The sequence below is a fragment of the Homo sapiens genome, chromosome 7 (assembly GCF_000001405.40).
Source record: "Homo sapiens chromosome 7, GRCh38.p14 Primary Assembly".
In the NCBI taxonomy this organism is placed as follows: domain Eukaryota; kingdom Metazoa; phylum Chordata; class Mammalia; order Primates; family Hominidae; genus Homo; species Homo sapiens.
Window position 1 is genome coordinate 17098948 of NC_000007.14, and position 23226 is coordinate 17122173.

Below are 23226 nucleotides of genomic sequence, written 5' to 3' on the forward strand. Positions count from 1 at the left end.
TCATTTTTACTTTCCTTTCAGAAGCAGATAAAGTAATTGATAAGTATTTGCAAAGAGCAATATTAGAATAATTCATTTCTTTAGGCATTACCTGAGAAAGATGTAGACAGACTACTGGAGACCTGTAATCACCTCGAAGGCTGGACCTGGATGAATCTTCTGTAAGATCCTAGCAACTTCAGCTTTGTTCAGGGTAGTTTTAGGATTCTATGTAACTTTGTTCCCCCTTTTTGCGAATTAGGAATGTAGTCCTTCTATGTTTGTATACTTAAGGACTTTTATTTAATAAACAGAAACATCCCATTCTCTGGGCAGTATAATAGCAACAAGAACAGTGTACAGAGTCCCAGAGTGGAATTGAAAGCCAAGTTTTGGGCTGAGTGGCCCCTTAGTAGCCTTAGGACTCAGAGCAACACATTTAATTTATCTGTGTCTCCGTTTTCTCATCTGCTAAGCGGTAAGTAGATATCATCGTCCTCAAAGTTTTTTTGTAAGTTGCAAATGTTTATGATTTCCAAAATTCTGTTATTTTACCACTTGTTTCTGAGCCTTTGCCTGAAACAGAGGGCAGCAGGATAGCAACTGCCTTGTGGAAAGTTCTGTGGGTGACTCAACAGGCCAAACAAGGAATCGGGAACATTCCTTTATACCTGTGCCCATGTAAATCCTCTCCCTGAGTTTTCAGCTATAGTCATTTATTGCACAACCTGTTAGTGACCTTGCCAAAGTCCTCCTTATCCATTACTCAACCCGCGTGCCAAGCTGCTTCAGCTCCTGCTATTGTTTCCCAGGAGTTTATAGCTGCCCTTCATTGCTCGAAGCTGCACTTTGAAGTGTCCTCACACTTGTGGTTGTCCTGTTTTATCTCACCATGCCCAGATTCCGGGAATCCTAAGGTAATCCCTCATCTAGAAGGTCAGTGAAAATTTGGTGTGGTAGGTCTTACTGAAGAATTAAATGGGCCGGGCACGGTGGCTCACACTTGTAATTCCAGCACTTTGAAAGGCCAAGGCGGGTGGATCACCTGAGATCAGGAGTTCAAGACCAGCCTGGCCAACATGGTGAAACCCAAGCTCTACTAAAAATACAAAAATTAGCTGGGCGTGGTTGTGCATGCCTGTAATCCCAGCTACTCTGGAGGCTGAGGCAGGAGAATTGCTTGAACCTGGGAGGCAGAGGTTATAGTGAGCTGAGATTGCACCACTGCAGTCCAGCCTGGGCGACAGAGCCAGACTCCATCTCAAAAAAAAAAAAAAAAAAAAAAAGAATTAAATGAAGACTGGCTGTATTCTGGCAGTGTAATGGTGTTATTTATTTACTTTCTTTGATTTTGGTGCAAAAGGATGTTTGCTGTTTAGCAGTGCTCAAAAGTCCAAAGTTCAATTTAATATTCCATTTACTCTTTCCTGCTTTTACAAAGACTACTGATGAATATATCAACCCATATTGGTCATCTTTCTTTTCTGAAACAAGGAAGCAGTATTGTGGTATAGCAGAAAGAGCACAGGTATAATGTGGAGATGAACAAATTGGATTTGAATTACAACTCTGCATTTTACTTGGCTGGGTATGTGGAAAGGTACTATTGCTGCTACAACTGAGTATTGATGGTAATAATTTTATGCGTGTGTATATTCCTCACTACTACCTGATAAGGTTTCATTTTCTTTAAAATACAGATTGTAATATCCATTTCACAGAATTTTATGAAAATTAGTAAGAGAGAATATGTGTATAAAACATTCAATCACTAAATGCCCAACGTTTCAAACATACTAGATTTCTCCTTTTGAACGTTTTTATTCAATATCGTTAGGCTTAAAACAATTATTTTATAATTATTTCATGCCTATAAATCTTGTCTCAGTAATCTCCTAATAAAATTTGTAAAAAAAGAACCAATGCCACACATTTCTTTAGTGTCTCCAGTGCAGTGTCTGAACTACTTGAGGACTTTTTAATCTGTTCATAATTTTCAATTTAACGTTAGCATGTTAAATTCTTAGCATTTAACACAGTGCCAGGCACATAAAACTTGCTCAATAAATATTTTATGAGTAAGTGGGCTTCCTCATTTATTTGCCCATGAATCTCTTCAAATTCATGGGTCCAATTAACTGCCCTTAAATTAGTTTTCTTTCAATCAAAATTCCACTGGAATTTTGCTTGGCTGGCCATAGTCATCTGGACCTATCATAACTTGCTTCGGAGTACCTCAGATCATCCAAGGCTTCTAGGCCCACATTCTGGAATACATTAGGTTCTGTTCTAGTGCTTTAAGGGAGTTAGACTGCCCAGAAAGTGACAATCACATACAAGGATGTGTTTTAAATTTAGGTAGTGGTATATATATTCTCATATAAGAGATATATCCAGGCTTAACCCCATGCCAAGTTCCATTAAAAGTCATCATTGATTATTTTGTCACCCATTGCCTTATAATGTCGCAATCTTTCTACTCCTTAGCTCAGCTAGGTCTGAGTTCTTGTCTCACAACCAGGAAGAATTAGGCACACGGACACCAGAGAATGAGTGGAGTAGAATGTATTAAGTGAGAGGAAAGCTCACAGCAAAGCAGCGATGCGGAAGATAGTTCCCTTACCCAAAGGCAGAAAAGTCCCTTCCCTGTGGCTGGGTCTGGGTCCTCTTATGCACTCAGAATGGGTAGCGCATGCTGATTGGTTTGTGAGTAGGCAAAACACGTTAAAGCAAAGGCATCACTCAAAGGTGGGCACAACAGTGTAGAAAACCAATTAGGAAATGATAGTTATATGTAAAATAGGTGAAGGGTGGGGACCAATAAGAGGAAAGTGCACCAAATGAAAAGACAGGTTCTCAATCCATTCTGAGGATTTAACTGGTAGCTTGGCTTTCAGGCTTTAATACTGCCTTTGGCTTGGAGGTGGGGTTTTCTTGGGGACCCACCCCTATCTGCCTAGCCATGTGGCTGCCTCCTGCCGCTCTCAATAGGTAGTTAAATAATCTGTATACCAAACTCCTGTAACACACAATTTACCTATATAACTAACCTGCACATGTACCTCTGAACCAAAAATACAAGTTAAAAAAAAGTCAACATTGTTCCAAATATAACTGGCAAATGTCCAAGAAGACAATCTATGTTCCTTAGGTTGCCCAACTTGGTTTTTTTCAATAATATTTTTAATATTTTTGAGGAAAACTTCTGCTACATTTTTGCTCATATATCTAAGAATCACAATGAAAGTAATGATTGCTGAGTGGTTTGCTATTTTGGGATCTTTTTATTTGTATTCCTTGCACTAAAAAGAAGAGAGGAAGGTCAAGTTGTCAGTCATCTAAATAAATATAATGAGGTAAATTTAAATGTATTGAGCAACTATAAAAAAAATGTGTTTGGCCCTGTGGTCTCAAATTTTACTTTGGATAAGAATCAGTTGAGCGATTTATTAAAATTACAGTTAGTCTGGGTGGAGATCAGGAATCTGCATTTTATCAAGGGGCCCAGGTGATTCTGACACTAGTAGTCTGTTGATCTCAGTAAAAGAAACCTGTCTTAGACTGTACAGTATAGTCACTACTTAGGAAGAGCATGTATTATCTATAGCCAAACAGAACTCATTTCAAATTCCAGAACTGCCGTTTGCTATATTTGTGAGTATGGGAAATTATGTAACCTCTTTGAACCTCAATTTCCAACTGTAAGACTGGATAGTTCTTACCACGTGGGTAAGATAAAATGAGGTATATGCCTAGACCATTTTGTGTATCAAAAAGTAATCACTGAATGGGAATTATGTATTTCTACATATGTAATATGTAGAATTGTTTCTTTACTGTTTGTGTCCTTCTAAATGTAATAGCTCACTAGTAATTTTAATGGGGAAATATATTGTGAAGGCTAATGTTCTAACCTAGGTTCAGCTCTATAACTCCTCTATGATTACTCAGGGATGGAAATCTTGAGAACCACCTGCTAGTGGGATTATGGGATCTAAAGGTGATGTTTACTTTTGAATCAGATCAAAGGATTTTTTTTTCTATGTTACAGCAGACAAAAGTTGTTAAAGAAAAGGTATAATTTTATACACTCCATTGCCCTCAATTGTAATATAAGAAAAATACTTCATTGATTTCTGGCTCTGTAACTCCATTTAACTCCTGATGCAATTTCCCACAAGAGTAAATTTACCTGCAAATTAATCTGCTTTGAGGCCCCCTGGAATTTCTGATGCAAATGTGGGTAGAGGCTGGAGGGTTTAATAAATAGGTTGTTCCAGTGCCAGCCCAGAGCCCATCATTGCAAGAAGGATACTGAGGGAAACCCAAGCCCCAGAAAAGACTGAGATGTTGCTGACCTAGGGTTACACTGAGAACACCCTGTGAGAAGTTTTCTTGATACCCCAGAGGTCAGGTCGCTGCTCCTCTCCTTCTGTCATGCACTTGATCTTTGCACCTCCACAGCCTTGTGTTAATGCACTGTCCTTGATTGTTCCCACGTCTATCTCCCACTGAGGATGTAAGTTGTAGTTTCCTCATTTTTAACATCTGTATAGAAAACACTGCCAGGCCTCGAATGAATGAGTAAAGAAACAAATAAATAGCTATATAGCAAACTCCTCGACTGAGTAGATCTGTCCTGTGTTTATGTAATTGTACCAATGCTGTGCCTAAATATAAAAAGGCAAAATTGGTTCCATTTGTACATGTAGTTCTTTAAAACTAACAAAATATTTTATACGCTAGTGCTTTAGCATTATAGAGAAAAAAAATTGCCCTTATGATTTGTTAAAATAGACAGATGCAAAAGAGTTATTTCATTGTTGTCTACTTTATACTGAAGTACACCAGGGAAATTTTTAGCAGGTACATCTTTAAGAACAGGTCTCAAAGCACAAAAAGCCAAGGAAATATTTTATGATAGCTTCAAATTTACCATAAAAAATTTAAAGTGAATCCAACCCATAATTATTATTAAAAAAGACTTTCAGTGGCCTTCTACTAATCAATTATACACAAAATGTGTAGAAAAGAGGTATTGCAATTTTGGAAACTTTTAAATAAAATAAATACTGAAATATTTTTATAAATATTATCTTGTAATTTACGTATTTCATAACCGTGTTACAAAATGCCAAAAACTACAATGTGTATTTAACTTGAAGCCAAGTAATGACATGCAAGGGGAAAACTTCGTTTTTCTAGAGAACATTCTTGCTAGTTCTGAATGAGCTATACTTAATCACAGTGTGCCTGAAATAAAGTCAGGTTGGACAGCTCCCTAGACGAGTAGGGTGCTCCAACCATAATTTACCCTCCTTAATGTGGTATTTTCTATCCACTGAAAGGTTCAGTCCATTTTAAAATGGGAACTCTACCTCAGGTATAATCAACAAGATCGTTGATGGCTCCCTTTCATTAAGAGAATATTGGCCAAAAGCTCATTATACCATTTCTATTTATGTTAAATTAAAGGAGAACTAGTTGTACTTTTAAGCTTCTTATATGTCGCTCCAGATAATAAATATGCCAATAAAATTAAAGGAAAGAATAAAGCATATTTATGTAAATTCTAAGTTTATAAGGAAATACATTAGTAGGCATTAAAAAAATCATCCAAGGGGAAAGGTCTAGGGAGAAACATGAGGCTCTCAGGGGAGCTGTATTGGTAAATGATGGTCTCTCCACAGGGGCATCTCGTTGTTATAAATCATAGTGCTGAGTATGCTGCAGGACATGAATGTGCACTAGTCAATTTCCACTTAGAAAATGGTAAACTAAAAACCAACGTTGAGACCTTCAGATAAGAAACAATACTCTTGAATTTCATCAGTGCATACAGTTTGTTACCACTCAGTTACATTGAATTCACATGTGGATTGGCATTTTATTTTTACTGTGGTATACTTAGCCCAAAATAATGCCAACAGCATTGTTTCTGTTCCTCACTGAAAGTTGGGATATTTCCAAAGGAGTTTCCAAAAGAAATGTTCAACTGTGAATCACTACGAATATCAGTATATAAAATCACTTGAATATAGATCCTTGGAAAATACCTTTAAGTTAGCTTATTATTGGCATGTAGAATAAATACAGAAAATATACAAATCCTATGTGTACAGCTTGTTCTGTTTACTTCACAAAATGACATCTGTGTGGCACAAGCAACCAGATGAAGAAACAGACTATTATCTGAATCCAGAAAACTCCTTTCTCCCGCTTCCAATAATTAATACCCAAGGATAAATTACTGTTCTGAATTTTTTTAATTGAGTAAAATCTTCCTATAAGTACTGTTTTGTATCTGATTCTTTCACTTCAAGTATGTGTATGGGATCCATCCATGTTTTTAACTGTAGTTATTGTTCATTTATTCTCATTGCTAAGCAGTAATGTATTGTGTCAGTATACCATAATTTTTATGTCCATTCTACTATTATAGACATTTGGATATTTCCAGTTTCGAGCTATTATTCTATTGCAGACATGAATGTTGTCATTGTCTTTTGGTAAACACAGGTGTCCTGTCGAATACATTTCTAAGAATGAAATTGTGGGATCATCGGATATGTGTCTTTAGCTAGAAGCTTTAGTAATTTCTGCTAACAATAGGAGTTCCATTTGATTAATATCCTCTCCAACATTTGGTATTGCCTATCATGATGACTACTAACACACCTTTGTATATATTTTGGGGCTATTTAGATAGTTTTTTTTGTGAATTGCCTTTTCTAGTCTTTTGCCCACCTATTATGTTGTTTACATTTTTCTTATTGATTTGTAGGAGTTATTTTTATCTTCTTTATACATTCTTTCACAATGCATTTATTAAAAAAACTTTATATGCACTATATAGTTTAGTTTCTTAATGGTGTATGAATAGTCAGGGTTCTCCAGAGGGTCAGAACTAATAGGATATTGTTTATCTGAAAGGGAGTTTATTAAGGAGAATTGACTCACAGGATCACAATGTGAGGTCTCATGATAGGCTGTCTGCAAGCTGAGGAGATAGGAAGCCAACAGTGCAGCCTCCATCCTGTGCCCAAAGGCCCAAGAGCCCCCAGAAAACTACTGCTGTAAGTCCAAGAGTCCAAAGGCTGAAGAACCTAAAGTCTGATGTTCAAGGGCAGGAAGCATCCAGCATGGGAGAAAGATGAAAGCCAGAAAACTCAGCAAACCAGCTTATCCCACCTTCTTCCACCTGCTTTCTTCTAGCCAAGTTGGCAGCTGATTGGATGGTGGCCACCCACACTGAGAGTGGGACTTCCTCTCCCAATCCCCCAACTCAAATGTTAATCTCTTCTGGCAACACCCTCACAAACTCACCCAGAAACAATACTTTAACAGCTATCCAGGCATCCTTCAATCCAATCAAGTTGACACCTAATATTAACCATCGCAGTGTCTTTTGAAGAACAGAAATTATAGTATCATTTTAGCATAGTCCAATTAATCATTCTCTTTTATTTAACCCTTTTAGAATGTGTGAAAGGAAAATAAATCCTGGGGCCCCCAAATCACTAAGCTAAAGGGAAAAGTCAAGCTGGGAACTGCTTAGGGTAAACCTGCCTCCCTTTCTATTCAAAGTCACCCCTCTGCTCACTGAGATAAACGCATATCTGATTGCCTCATTTGGAGAGGCTCATCAGAAACTCAAAAGAATGCAGTATGTCTCTTATCTACCTATGACGTGGAAGGCCCCTCCCCATTTTGAGTTGTCCCACCGTTGCCTCGAGTTGTCCCACCTTTCCGAACTGAACCAATGGACATCTTACACATACTGATTGAGGTCTCATGTCTCCCTAAAATGTATAAAACCAAGCTGTGCCCCTACCACCTTGGGCACATGTTGTCGGGACCTCCTGAGGCGGTGTCATAGGAGCAAGTTCTCAACCTTGGCAAAATAAACTTTCTAAATTAACTGGGACCTGTCTTAGATATTCAGGGTTCACATTTTGGCAACCATGAAGGGATTCTGAATGGAGATGCCCCTGATCTTTGACAAATCTGCTACCAGTGCTTGGTACCAGCATGAGCTAACTTTATGGCTCAAACCAATAGGATAATTTGCTCAGGTCTAGGAACACCCCCTTCAGAGAATCCCTGACCTCCAAAAATTTGGTCAAGATCTAAAGTTTATTTTGCTGTACAACTCTCCTTTTCTGGAGTTTTACTTGCTTCCAACAAGGAAGGCAAGATTTCCTGCTTCCATGATGATGGAAGGCAGGTAACTCCTTTATGGAGTGTGAACTCACTCCTGTCAGGGAAGACAAGTTCGAGATGTTTGAGGTTTTTTTTTTTTTTTTTTTTTTTTCCCTGCTTCTAGGATGGTAAAAAGCTGTCTTCAGCCTGAGACCCATTCCTAGTTAAGTAGATGAATTGGGGTTTTGTCTTTGCTAAAGTTTAACAACTGGTTGTCTTAATTTCTCCTTACCGTTATAGCACTCAGTGATCATATTGTTGAGTTATTTGGTGTTGATGGTGGTTCCATCTTTATTCCATCAGATTTGACAAACTCTACCTGACTTGGTCAAATCCAAATGAGAATTCCAAATTGTGGGTAACAAAACCTCTCTAATTTGGCTAAAATTCCTCACATCTGCAAAAGAGGGAAAAAACCGAAAACCAAAAAACCATGTGCTTGTTTTCCGTGTTTGCTTCCTATCTTAATAAACAAACAAAAAAACAAATGTTCTTTTATTTACTTTTCTTCCACCCTATACCTCCTTCCTATTTTGCCATCTGCAGTGCCAAAAACATCTAGAGAAGACTTCTAATGACTTGAACCCCTTTCAAGAAATCAGAGCAAAGGTGCCACTCACCTGTTTTGGGGTATTTTGTTTTCTTTGTGTAGTTTCAAGAGTCATGGGCAGAATCTTCTTAGGTCTAAAGCTCTGTTTTCCTGTATTGCATGACCTGATCTCTTTGGCTTGGGTACCAGAGATTACCTTGTATTGGGAGAGGATTTGACCTTGGCGTGTGTAATGGTAAAAGGGAGCTACAAAGTTAGGGATGGCTGAGCAGTTTACAGGGAGTGGTCTTGGCTGTTGTTATTTATTTTTTTTCTCCTTGGAAGTTGTTTAAGGATCTTAATTCTAGTTTGGAGATGCATCCTAAGGGGTCTTCTCTATTGCTTTTTCTCCCAACATTAATCTCAATTAGTCTTGTCTATGTGCATTTGCATGAGAAACTGAACTGTTGTTTTCATAGGTAAATGTGAGACTGCATTTTCACAGCTCTGAAGAAAAAGGGCATTTGCTCTTCTCAGCTGAAAGGTGCCCTTGGGTGACTGGGGGCCCTGTAGGAGTGTCTGGGAGGTTGATCCCCAGTGGCCCTGCAGGGAAATCCCCAACAAAATTCATTTTTAAAAAGGCTCATCCAGGAAAAGCATATAAGGGATGATCACCCAGTGTTTTGAGCCCTCTCATAGGTCATAGATTTCTGGAGAGAGAAACTGAGACACGTAAGAGGGTGGAAATGACTTGCCCACAAGCAGCACACATCAGTCCACCATATAAAAACCCTAGGTCACAGCTCAGTTCTTCCTTTTAAGAAAAAAAGTGGAAACAAATAATCTAAGTATTGAGGAGAAAACAAGGAGAATGACCCCCTTTAGAGCACTCCATAGGTTTTATGTCACGTCTACTTGCCAGAGTTTATGTAAAACGAAAGTAATATGGTCTTCGAACACATTTACATTAAAGAAAAAGATCCCTAAGGTCAGTCTCCAAACTATAGAGTTCCTAAGTTCTCTTTTTTCTCTATTTTCTTTTCTGTATGCTTTAAATCTGCTGTTATTTTTCTATTAAGATAAAAACCACTGTTTGGATCCAACAGGTTTTTTGTTTGCAAGCTAGTGAATTTGTATTTACCTCATGGCTAAAGTTCTGAAATAAAAGCTATAGGATCTTTGTGTGTGTGTGTGTGTGTGTGTGTGTGTGTGTGTGTGTGTGTGTGTGTGTGTTTAAAAGGCTTTTATAAAATTTCTATAATTTTATGTTTAATTGGTAATTAAATCCATTTTAACTTCCCCTTACCACAGCAGAATTTTTCTCTCCATACCTTATGATGTAAATTTTACAATTATTGGTAAAGTAATGTTAGAAATGTCTTAAGAATTGCCAGCATAGATTTTTGTTTGCATTTATTAATCAAGCAATTTCATACTTATCCCTGCCAAATACTATAAGGTGTCAAAATGTGACATAAGGATCACAAAACTATAAACCCAGCCCAAGGCAGAATGATGTTTGCTTATGTAAGTTTTAATCATCTTCGGGCCTAGTAGAAGATGCCAATAAAAATAAACTGCATTCCTGAGGCACAAGGCAAGAAATTAAAGCTATTCAACTCCTCAAGACTCAGGAACTATTGCAGAAGAGGTAGGTGTGTGAGGTTGTAGGGGCCGATTTTGAGAGATAAAGTAAGTTCAGTTTCTCTATAATTTAATTATTAATGTCAAGGGCACACTGATGCAAGACCAGCATATGGACCCCTTTGTCAGCTTAAGAAGGTTTTCTTGAAGCATTAACTGACATCTAATAAAGGTTATGAAGGTTATAAAAGGCTTCTGGAACTTATATTTTATGGTCAAAATTGGAATTTTATAAATTATAAAATTTTGAAAAACCAATTTAATTGGCTTCATGCTGTTTTTATTGGGGCTTATTGTTTGGAAAACTAAGTCTCTTCTCTCAAAGAATGAAGCTTTTCACCTTTTAAAAAAATCCTTGACTTTATCACTTTGGTCAAATGAATTACTTATTTTACAATGAAGTGTGATACCAAGTGTTTTAAGCCTTTGATATTTGATGAACTTTCCAAAATCAAATTATAAATTATATCTTTTTCTTACCTAATTAATCCTTTAAGATATTAGGTTCCCTGAAGTCCAGAACTGACATAATTTGGCTTATTTGGTATAAAAATTATATGGCAGGCCTTGTCAAATATGAACTGGTGTTTGGTTTTCTTTGGGCTGATTTGTATAAATATATTATTGATATGTGTTCCAAAATTATGGGAAAATTGTATAATTCTGATATGATGTATTGTACATTATCAGTAATAATTATAATTGTTATGTTAAATTATTGCATGCCACAGAGGTAACAAATTTCCTTATCAATTGTGTCTTTGACTCTGGCTGCTCTAAAACTTTTTGTCATCCATGACAATTATTGTCTTGTTTTGATCCACTTTAGAAGGTAGTTTTATAATCAGCATAAAACTCAAGAGCACCTGTTGGTGCTCTTGAACACAAGTTTCTGATAACTTTGGAGACTGTGACATCAGAATAGAAGAAAAACTTTCTGGGCTCATGGAGAACTGAAATGTTCATGAATATCAAGCAGAACAGGAATTAATTACATGGACTGAACTAATAAAGATTGAGTAATCTTTTTGACTTTTTGCTTAAAACATTGCTGATCCTTTGTTTCACTTTTTTTCAGAGTCAAGGAAACTTTTCTTTTGAGCTATTGACAGCTTTTAACAAATTTGTATACTCCTATGAGCAAAATTTAGAACATATTTGTTTCTTTCTACCTGATTTCTTGAGAATTTGGAAACTGGGATTATTCTTAACTTATGGCAAAACAGTTATTTGCATAAGTACAATAAGAATTTGTTCTCATTTATAACAGGACACAATTGGAGAAACTGATTATTTTACTAAGGCTTTGACTGGGATGGTGTGCTTTTCTTTAAGGAATCAATTGACTTATACAGCAAATAAAAGCCCCTTGGGAAAACTGGCCTCATGCCTTGTCTACACAGTCCTTACACATCATTCCTGACCTGTGGTAAGAAAAGATTGTCACTTTCTAACAGGCCCAGGAGACCCAAGTTTATCTTGGAACCTCACATGGAGAGGAATTCCCCAACTCATAGGTATTTGACGGTACAAATCCATGGCTGGGCTCGGCTTTAAAAAAGTCTTACCTGAGATTCCTTCTATGGAATAAAGTTCCATCAAAGCCAATTTAAAAGCCAATGTAAAAAAATCATTATTCTTGCCACACTGTATACAAATAATCAGGCCAAGTATAAGAAAGCAAATCAGTCCAACCATGATTTGTCTTTAATAAAAATGGGAAACTGGAGAGAGAAAAAATATGTTTCAAAAACCATAGTACACCTGTTGTTAGATTCTAGTCTTGCCTAACGTTTTTCAATTTTTTTTATTTTCTACAGATTGGAGCAAACTCTAATTTTTCTTGGCTACAAGTCTTCAAAATAATGTTTTCAATTTTTTTCCTTCTTTTTCTCCTGATATTTCCTAATTTGGAGTCACTGAAAACTAAGCTGTGCTTTCATAAAGCCCTGCAACTGAAGCTAGACAACTTAAACTTCAGAAGAAAGTAACAGCAAACTATTTACTTACATAAGCCCCTTTCATACCTGCCTACTGATGTATGGACTTCAGAGTAATGTGGCCTATCTCAATTTTCCAGAATCGTTCTTTTGTTTCTTGTTGTTTTTCTCCTTTTCTCCTCCTATTTTCTCTTCATAGGACATGAGACTTCACAACCTGCTAAAAATGGACTTTCCTAATAACTCAGGACCTACCTGTCTAGGAATAAACCATTCTAGCCATGAGAGATCAGATGAAACCTGAGACCATAGACTCATTTTCTCCTAAAATGCTTTCTCCCAAAGATTTTTTTAAAAAAGGTATCGAGTGGGGAATGTGAAAGGAAAATAAATCTTGGGGCCCCCAAATCACTAAGCTAAAGAGAAAAGTCAAGCTGGGAACTGCTTAGGTAAAACCTGTCTCCCATTCTATCAAAGTCACCCGCCTGCTCACTGAGATAAATGCATATCTGATTGCTTTATTTGGACAGGCTAATCAGAAACTCAAAAGAATGCAACCATTGTGACTTGGAAGCCTCCTCCCCACTTCGAGTTGTCCCACCTTCACCTCAAGTGGTGCCCCCTTTCTGGACTGAACTAATGGACATCCTACAAATTGATTGAGGTCTCATGTCTCCCTAAAATGTATAAAACCAAGCTGTGCCCCTATCATCTCAGGCACATGTCATCAGAACCTCCTGAGGTTGTGTCACAGGCATGTCTCCTCAACCTTGGCAAAATAAAATTCATAAATTAACTGAGACCTGTCTTAGATATTCAGGGTTCACAAATGCTATTTATGAAATGCATTTATCCTTCAGAATTCATGGGTGATGGGTTCTAGGACCTCCTGAAGATACCGAAAATTGCAAATGCTCAAGTCCCCGATATAAAATTGCATAGTGTTTGCATATATCTTATGCATATCCTGCCATATACTTTAAATCATCTGTAGATTACTTATAATACTGAATACAATATAAATGCTATGTAAATAGTTGTTATACTGTATTGTTTAGGGAATAATGACAAGAAAAATAGTCTGTTCATATTCAGACCAGAAACAATTTTTTTAAAAAAACTTTTTAGTATGCAGTTGGTTGAATCCATGAATAAAGAATCTAGAGATACAGAGTGCTAACTCCTTTCCTACCTCAAGTTCATAAAGATATTCTCCTATGTTTCCCTAGAAAAGCTTTAGTGTTTTATATTTCACATTTAGATCTATAATCCATCTGGAATTGACTGGTTTGTATGTTGTGAGGCAGGGATCAAAATTTATTTTTTACATAGATATTTGGATGATCCGGCATGCCTATTGAAAAGTCCATCTTTTCTGTAAAAGACTTTTTTCCCAGCTGCACCATAGTATCACTTTGTCATAAAATGATTGAACCTGTTATATATAGCTATATGCGATATATAAATATATATCAATATATGAAATATATGATATAGATACATATATCTATACATATCATATATATCATATATAATATATGCTATATGTATCTATATCATATATAATATATGCTATATGTATCTATATCATATATATCATATATGATATGTGCTATATGTATCTATATCATATAGATCGATATGATATATAGATATATATCTATATCATATAGATCTATATGATATATAGATATACATATATATCTATATATCATATATGACATATATACATACATAAATGAATTTGTTTCTGGATTTTCAACTCTGCCCCTCTGTTCTCTTTGCCGGTCCTTCCTCCTGAACTAAACCATCTTAATTCCCATAGCTTTACAGTAAGTCTAGCATACTGATAGTACAATTTCTCCAGATTTATTTTCTTCTTCCAGTTTGTCCTGGCTATTATTGGCCCTTTTCATTTTTATATATATTTTAGAATCAATCTCTTAACTTGCAACAAAAGTGCTGAAATATATGTTGCATGATTTGATCAACTTGAAAAAAACTTATATTTTTACAACATTGAGTTTAGCAATTAATGAACATGGTGTATTCCTACGCCTATTTACATCCTCTTTTATTTCTCTCAGTAATGCTTTCTAATGACATATTTTTTGCTAGATTTATTTCTAGCTAAATTGTTTTAGGTGTTTTTCAATTGGTTTCATTTAAAAGTTTTTATTTTTTGCTTTTCTTGGAACATAAAATGCAATTGATCCCAAACAGTGACCTTATATCTAGAGATCTTAACCTCAATTCAGTTAATTCTAATGGCTTGAGTGTGTATTAGTTGTCTTTTTGTCACTATTTTCATGTATGCTCCCAAGTTATCTGAAAATAGTTAAAATTTTATATCTTCCTTTTCAATCCTTTTGCTTTTTTGTGGTTTACTTATTTAAATTTTAATTTAAGTTCTGGGGTATGTGTGCAGAACATGCAAGTTTGTTACATAGGTATATATGTGCCATAGTGGCTTGCTGCACCTATCAACCCGTCGTCTAGGTTTTAAGTCCTGCATGCATTAGGTATTTGTCCTAATGCTCTCCCTCCCTTAGCCCCCAACCCCCGACAGGCCTGGTGTGTGATGTTCTCTTTGCTGTGTCCATGTGTTCTCATTGTTCAGTCTCACTCATGAGTGAGAACACGCAGTGTTTGGTTTTCTGTTCCTGTGTTAGTTTGCTGAGGATGATGGCTTCCAGCTTCATCCATGTCCCTGCAAAGGATATGAACTCATCCTTTTTTATGCCTGCATAGTATTCCATGATGTATATGTGCCACATTTTCTTTATGCAGTCTATCATTGATGGGCATTGGTTCTAAGTCTTTGCTATTGTAATTAGGGCTGCAATAAACATACATGTGCATGTGTCTTTATAGTAGAATGATTTATAATCCTTTAGGTATATACCCAGTAATGGGATTGCTGGGTCAAATGGTATTTCTGATTCTAGATCCTTGAGGAATTGCCATAATGTCTTCCACAATGGTTGAACTAATTTACACTCCCACCAACAGTGGAAAAGCATTCCTGTTTCTCCACAGCCTCACCAGCATCTGTTGTTTCCTGACGTTTTAATAATCGCCATTCTGACTGGCATGCGATGGTATCTCAATGTGGTTTTGATTTGCATTTCTCTAATGACCAGTGATGATGAGCTTTTTTTCATATGTTTGTTGGCCACATAAATGTCTTCTTTGGAGAAGTGTCTGCTCATATCCTTTGCCCACTTTTTGATGGGGTGGTTTCGTTCTTATAAATTTGTTTAAGTTCCTTGTAGATTCTGGATATTAGACCTTTGTTGGATGGCTTGCAAACATTTTCTCCCATTCTTTAGATTGCCTGTTCACTACGATGATAGTTTCTTTTGCTTTGCAGAAGCTCTTTGGTTTGATTAGATCCCATTTGTCAATTTTGGTTTTTGTTGCAATTGCTTTTGGCATTTTAGTCATGAAGTGTTTGCCTATGCCTATGTTCTGAATGGTATTGCCTAGGTTTTCATGGTTTTGAGTTTTACACTAAGTCTTTAATCCATCTTGAGTTAATTTTTGTATAAGGTGTAGGGAAGGGGTCCAGTTTCTGTTTTCTGTATATGGCTAGCCAGTTTTCCCAGCACCATTTATAAAATAGGGAATCCTCTCCCCATAACTTGTTTTTGTCAGGTTTGTCAAAGATCGGTTGGTTGTAGATGTATGGTGTTATTTCTGAGGTCTCTGTTCTGTTCCATTGGTCTATATATCTGTTTTGGTACCAGTACCCTGCTGTTTTGGTTACTGCAGCCTTGTAGGATAGTTTGAAGTCATGTAGCATGATGCCTCCAGCTTTGTTCTTTTTATGTAGGATTGTCTTGGCTACGCAGGCTCTTTTTTTGGTACCAGATGAAATTTAAAGTAGTTTTTTCTTTTCTTCTTTCTTTTTTAAATCATTTTTACAGGTGTTGACTTTTGCTTTTTTAAAATACCTTTTTGTATTGGCTAGTCTTTCTATTAAAGTAATAAACATAGTTATAGCAGGTAAGTAATAACTAATTTCATTGGAAGTTTTTCAGTATTTTACCATGAAGCATGAAGTTTGCTGTAAGAATTTCTTGAACACTCTTTATCTAAGAAAGTTCCATTCCATACCTAGTTTGCTACGAGTTTTCATGGTAAATTGACACAGAATCATATGAAATGTTTTCTTTTCTTATATCACATAACTTTTCTCTTTTCTTCTGCCAGTGCATATCAACATCCATTTATTTTTCAATGTTAAAACACACTTGCATTCCTAGAATAAATCCACTTTTTGTGATGTGTTAACTTATTATCAAATACATTTTTATACAGCAGCTTACTCGTGAGCTTGACAGTCACTGGGTCAAGTATTTTGCTCCATATTTTAACATATATTGAATTATTTTTGATATCTTAACTCTTGATGTTTTTGACATTTTAAGTCTTTTAAGAAGTAAAATTGAAAAAATCTACTTATTCTTCCTATTGTTATGGTAGACATGCTCATGCAGGTAATACCTCAGAAGTTTTCCAGGCATTACTGTCTGGTAATGTGTAGATAAAACAGACTGTTGTGTTCTTACACTTTGGATAACAGGAATTTCTACAACTTCTCCAGGCTTCACAAATCAGACACACTTTTTTCTTAATGCCCAAGTAGCAATAATCCAAGCTACTATCCTACATGTCTATGAAGTCTTTAACAAGATTTTCCTCCAAGAATACATTTTAGTTGGATAATTTTACCTTACCTAGTTTTTACTCATTTTCTCAGAATATCACTCCAAAATAAAAGCTATTCTTTATCTTTGCATAACCAACAGTTCCATTAAAGTATTTTTCTTTAATTAAACATGTAGTTTATCCACAAAAGGGAATCCAAACTTCTCATTCTGTGGAAAATTTGAAAAACTACAGTCTAGAAGATTCTGTTATTATATTGCCATTCCCATCTAGGAGTGAGTTCTGCCATTTTTATATGTTACTTATTGTGTCTTCTTTATATTTACATTATTTTAAGTATTTTTATATTATGATACTTTGTTTATATTTTAAACTAGAACACAATTGACAGAAACTGCAGTTAATCTAATTATGGATTAGACAGTTGCAGGAAACATTAGTTTACTCTAGGAAGGGAAACACAAATTGAGTTGTTGTAAGGACACAATAGGCAAACTGAGTCATCCAAAAATGAGAAATAAAGTAGCAGCAGGTCACAGCAGAACTAACTAGAACTGGAAATTCAAACACGAGTTTACAGATTCCACCCTGAAAAGGCTTATCTCTGTTTTTTCATCTAATTTCTTTTTAGCTTTATAATTTTGTACATGCCCTAGCATGACTACCTCTCTCTCCCATTTTGGCGTGGCTTTACTATTCATGTATTCATTGTTTTTTTAAATATTAGGGAGGGAAGACTCTTATCTTTCATTTCTTATGTACCCCCATGAAGACTTTCAGCTGAAATAACTCATCTCTCACTCGTTTTTCTTTTATTTTTTTATTTATTTCTTCTAAAAAAAATGGGATACATATGCAGATGTGCAGGTTTGTTACATAGGTATACAAGTGTCATGGTGGTATGCTGTACCTATTGACCCATCCTCTAAGTTCCCTCCCCTCACCCTCCACCCCTCAACAGGCCCTGGTGTGTGTGTTCCCCTCTCTGTGTCCATGTGTTTTGAATGTTCAACCTCCACTTATGAGAGAGCATGCGGGGTTTGGTTTTCTGTTCCTGTGTTAGTTTGCTGAGGATGATGGCTTCCAGCTTCATTCATGTCCCTGCAAAGGACATGATCTTATTCCTTTTTATGGCTGCTTAGAATTCCATGGTGTATATATGCCACACTTCTTTATCCAGTCTATCATTGGGTTGGTTCCGTGTCTTTGCTATTGTAAATAGTGCTGCAATAAACATATGTGTGCATGTTTCTTTATAGTAGAATGGTTTATAATCCTTTGGGTATATACTCAGTTATGGGATTGCTGGATCAAGTGGTAATTCTGGTTCTAGATCCTTGAGGAATCGCCATACTGTCTTCCACAATGGTTGAACTAATTTACATTCCCACCAACAGTGTAAAAGCGTTCCTATTTCTCCACAGCCTCGCCAGCATATATTGTTTCCTGACTTTTTAATAATTGCCATTCTGACTGGCATGAGATGGTATCTCACTGTGGTTTTGATTTGCATTTCTCTGATGATCAGTGATATTGAGCTTTTTTTCATATGCTTGCTGGCCATGTAAATGTCTTCTTTTAGAAGTGTCTGCTCATATCCTTCACCCACTTTTTGATGGGGTTGTTTGTCTTTTTCTTGTAAATATGTTCAAGTTCCTTGTAAATTCTGGATATTAGACCTTTGTCAGATGGGTAGATTGCAAATATTTTCTCCCATTCTGCAGGTTGCCTGTTCACTCTGGTGATGATAGTTTCTTTTGTTGTGCAGAAGCTCTTTAGTTTAACTAGATCCCATTTGACAATTTTAGCTTTTGCTGCAATTGCTTTTGGTGTTTTCGTCATGAAGTCTTTGCCCATGCCTATGTCCTGAGTGGTATTGCCTAGGTTACTCTTTATTGACTCCACATCTTGAAAGGAGAAGGGATTATTTTGTTTAGCGAGTTTGAAATAACTTGTTGAGCATGCTCTGCTAGCACCTTTCTCCTGACTGTGTTCAGTTGTGTCTGCCTATTGAAAGGAAAGTTTCTTACCTACTTTCATCCACATGGATCTGCCAATGATGTGGAAGGCTAATAGGGTTCCACTTGTGCCAGTGCCTGGGTGAACAAGTATGTCCAATTTAGGAGTCAATTCCTAGGAAGCTATTAGGTTTTAGATCTAAAATTGTAATCTCCAATCAGGCTGTTTTAGTAATAAAGGTGATATTTTGAATTCCATTTGCTTGCTATTGCTTCTTTGTCTCAGTTGTTTCCAAAAGAAGAAAAAGATCTATTATTTAGTAATCTACATGAACCCCACATAGAGAGAAAATAGAGTACATAATTCCATCATATAAAAAATAAATTTAAAATACATGAAGAGTTAAATGAGAAAAATAATATTTAAATATACAGGCATATCTCAGAGATACTGTGGATTTGGCTCCAGATCACTGAAATAAAGCAAATATGGCAATGAAACAAGTCACACAAATTTGGGGGGGTTCCCAATGCATAAAAAATTATGTTTACTCTAAACTGTGGTCCATTAAGCATTTAAACATTATGTCTAAAAACTGTACATATTTTAATTTAAAAATACCTTATTGTTAAAAAATACTAATGATCATCTGAGCCTTCAGTGACTCATAATCTTTTTTTTTTTGGTAAAAGGTCTTGTTTGATGTTGATGGTTGCTGTTTGATCAGGGTGTGGTTGCTGAAGGTTAGGGTGGCTGTGGCAATTTCTTAAAATAAGACGACAGTGAAGTTTGCTGCATCAATGGATTCCTCCTCGAACAAAAGATTTCTCTATAGCATGCAACGCTATCTATCTGATAGCATTTTACCCATAGTAGAACTTTCAAAGTTTGAGTCAGTCCTCTCAAATCCTGCTGCTACTTTATCAATTAAGTTTATGTTTGGGTAGTATTAACTGGAGTTAATTAAATATGGAGTGACTATTATGGGGAAACACTGTCAGTTTCTGTGCAGAATCCCATGATAGACATTTCTAGTAGTTTCAACAATGTCTGGGGCTCCTACCCTTCTAGGCTAATGTGAACGCATTTGAGCTTCATATATCAACGAGTCCATTTCACAAACATGATATTCATTAAAGGAAGCAAAAGGCAGAACACATTCAGTTGATTGTATTTGTATGCATTACATGTAGCAAAATTATAAGGAAAATAAAAGGGATGATAACTATTGAAATATTTCTTAAGCTAAGTGGAACATGCATAAATAATATTTAATAATGTGCTCTATACATTTTATGTATATAAAATATAGTTTCCTCCAATAAAGGTTATCTTATTCTGAAATCATGGGTGGTAAGTAAAGCTTGTGAAATATGGATTATAATATGATACCTGCAGTCATCACCCTGGCACAACTAACACTTACTGGCTCCATATTCCTTACTAGGTAGAAGGCAAATGTCTCACTTAGCATGGCATAGTTCTTCTACAGTTAGAATCTTACTTTCCTTTCTCTACTCCTCTTCTCTTTTCTTCTTCCTGCTTACAACACGTTCACTGAGTAACCAATGGATCAATCTCAGTTCCTTGAGTGTAATTTTAAAATATTTTTACCTAAAATACTTTGTTCCTTAACTTCTAACCATCCTTTCCAACACAGTTAAAATATTGTCTTTGTGAAACTATTTCCAATTCTCATACTGTGGTATATACTTTAAGGTATTCTAATGGGCTTACATATCTGTATTCTCCATTAAGGATAGCTCATGGAAGGTAGTGCCCTGTCTTATTTGTCATTGTTTCCCTAATACTTAGCCCAGTGTCTGGCATACTAAATGCCTAATGTTAGACAAATAAACTACTTGGAAGAGCTGTTGAAATGTTAAAATGTTCAAAAAGTTGAAGGGACAATTTCTGAATTAATGACACAATGAACAGTATCAAAATTCAGAGAATGTCACTGTGGATGAGAGTGATCTGGAAAGATTCCATCAAAGCTGGTGGCTCTGAGGTAGGTCTAACAGGATGGGTAAGATTTGCAGTAATTGAGGAGAGTGGTGAGCTTCCCAAGCTAACCAGTTATGAGAGCAAAGGGTTGGAGAAAGGGAAGACTTTCTTCATTCTGCAGATCTCCATGCATATGCAACCTCTTTTAGGAAGCTAGTGTCCTTATTCTGTCTTCCGTAGACTGTTCACATTTCCTCAGTGTTTCTGGTGATTTCTCTAGAATCAAAGACTGTGTTAGGGCTTCAGGTCCATGAGAAATGAAGAGAGAATGGGATAATACTGTAGATGAAGCTAAGCAAGGATACTGGTCTCAGTTAGAAGGTGGCTTCAGCCTGATCCCACAGGATCAGGAGTGTCAGTCACACCGAGTTGATCCCACCTTGAGGAAAATGCAGTCGTTTATACCCCCAGATTAGCCAGTTATTAACTACAGGCTGTCTCGAGGGGAGGGTGCCAATCTCCTGGGCAAGAGAACTCCCATTTGGATGAAGGCAATTCTCTAAGGAGGGACCAGCTGGGAACTATGAGCATGCTCAACATGGGTGAACTTGCCTGCTAAGGTGGATCTGAGCAAGGCATTACCAAAAAATCTGCTCAGTTACCCTAGAGTGATTATACATTTTTGTCCACGCTTCTGCTTTGATGCTACTCTGTGTCATGCTGTTGTATCACCATCCCCATCTTCTGGGCTATTTATTCTGTTTTTGTCAGGCAGTATTGCTTTCAAATTGATCCTGATCTTCTGAACACCACTAAATCTCCTGGTTATTGGCACTACTTCTTGGCACTATGGCCATTTCTATTGGATACCACCTTTTATTTATTACCAGGAAACATCAGCTCCTGCTGCTGATTCTGCAGCTTTCCGGGTGTCAAGTTCTATTCAGGGTCAAAGCCTGGGAGAGTGCTCCTTGTATTGTGTTGCATTGTATTTGTTAAATGAATGCTCAAAGGCAGGGAAGAATGTACCCCAATGCTTTTGAGAGTTAATAGTATAGGTACTCTTTCACTTGCTACTTAGAGCACTACCCTACCAAATGCTACTCAGACTTCCCTTTCTCCAGTGACTAATGCTTTGTTATTGAAACACTATGATCTTCTCAACTTTCTGCTCCCTTTGGGTGCACCCCCTCCTCACTGGTCTCTCAATCTCTCCTGCAAATGGACTTTTGGTAGGTCTGTGCCATCAAAGCTTTAGGCTGCCGAAACGTCTGAATTCCAGTAGTGGCAAAACCATAACCCCAGCTACATGTGCAAAACTCTGATTAAGACTAAATTATTTAGATAATAGAAATTGTAGTTAATTCAATATGCAGTGACAATTGTGGGGAAAACACTGTGTTATGTTCTGTGCAGAATCCCATGATAGACATTTCTAACATTTTTATCAATGTCTGGGGCTCCTATCCTTCTAGGCAAATGGAAAACAGCCACTGAGCTGTGAGTGGAAATGACTTATGGGATGAAGCATTTAATTACCAGTGTCATTTCTAGATTGAAATGTTTAATTGCTCATATGAGATTCCCTTGTGCTCTCATGCCCTTGCTGTAGCAAGTATGGAGAAATCCTGTGGACATATGGTGGAACCAATGGTTGAGCAGTCTTCATTGCGTGAAAGAGTTTCTCTCGAGTTTCTCAGACCCACAGTGGATGTTGCATAAATAAGAGAAATGAGAAATACTGTTTTTCTGAGTTAAGCCATTAAGATTTGGAATCTGTGTAAGTATAGCATAAGCTGTACTAACCTATCTTCACTAATGAAAACAACCCTGTTCTTTTCCCTCCTGTTACCCATTCTACTAAATAGTATGGTCTCCATAATGAAGAATTTTGGCGAAGGCTACAAATTAGAAAACTTTATAGTAATGAGTACTCACTTTCCCTGCCCTCTTTTGACTCATTGTATCTCCTGGCATGTTATTAAGAAATCTCTATGTTTAAATAGAATGGTTTGGCAAAAATTTACTGAACATAAATAGATTGCAGTTGGTTAATTTGCTACAGTTGTTAAAATAATACCTGAGTTACAAAATAATTTGCCTGCATAATGTAAGAAGTGAGTGATCATGTAGGTTGCAAGACCCTAGAAAGCCAAACCTTTCAAATTCTATTTTTTAAATGAAGTTGGTCAGAAGTATGCTTTCAATAAAAGTGTTCATTTTGGAAAGTCTGGTAACTAATGCTAAGAGTTATATAAATATATAGTAAAATATGTTTCCTCACTGGAATCTTCCAAAATAAATAAATCTAAGAAATACCTTTGTTTATACTGTTCTTGGTGAGCTGTACTG

The 23226-nt window shown here is 36.5% G+C and overlaps 2 long non-coding RNA genes across 2 annotated transcripts in view; one reads left to right on the forward strand and one right to left on the reverse strand.

The window, feature by feature from the left end:
* The window catches only part of LOC124901596 (uncharacterized), a 33197-nt gene extending 32635 nt beyond the window's left edge, over positions 1-562 (reverse strand). The window contains exon 1 of the long non-coding RNA XR_007060240.1: positions 92-562. This is a non-coding gene — a long non-coding RNA (uncharacterized LOC124901596). The remainder of the gene's footprint in view (positions 1-91) is intronic.
* A 294-nt stretch (positions 563-856) lies between these two features.
* LOC107986772 (uncharacterized) overlaps positions 857-23226 on the forward strand; it is a 129008-nt gene continuing 106638 nt past the window's right edge. The window contains exon 1 of the long non-coding RNA XR_001745107.2: positions 857-915. This is a non-coding gene — a long non-coding RNA (uncharacterized LOC107986772). The remainder of the gene's footprint in view (positions 916-23226) is intronic.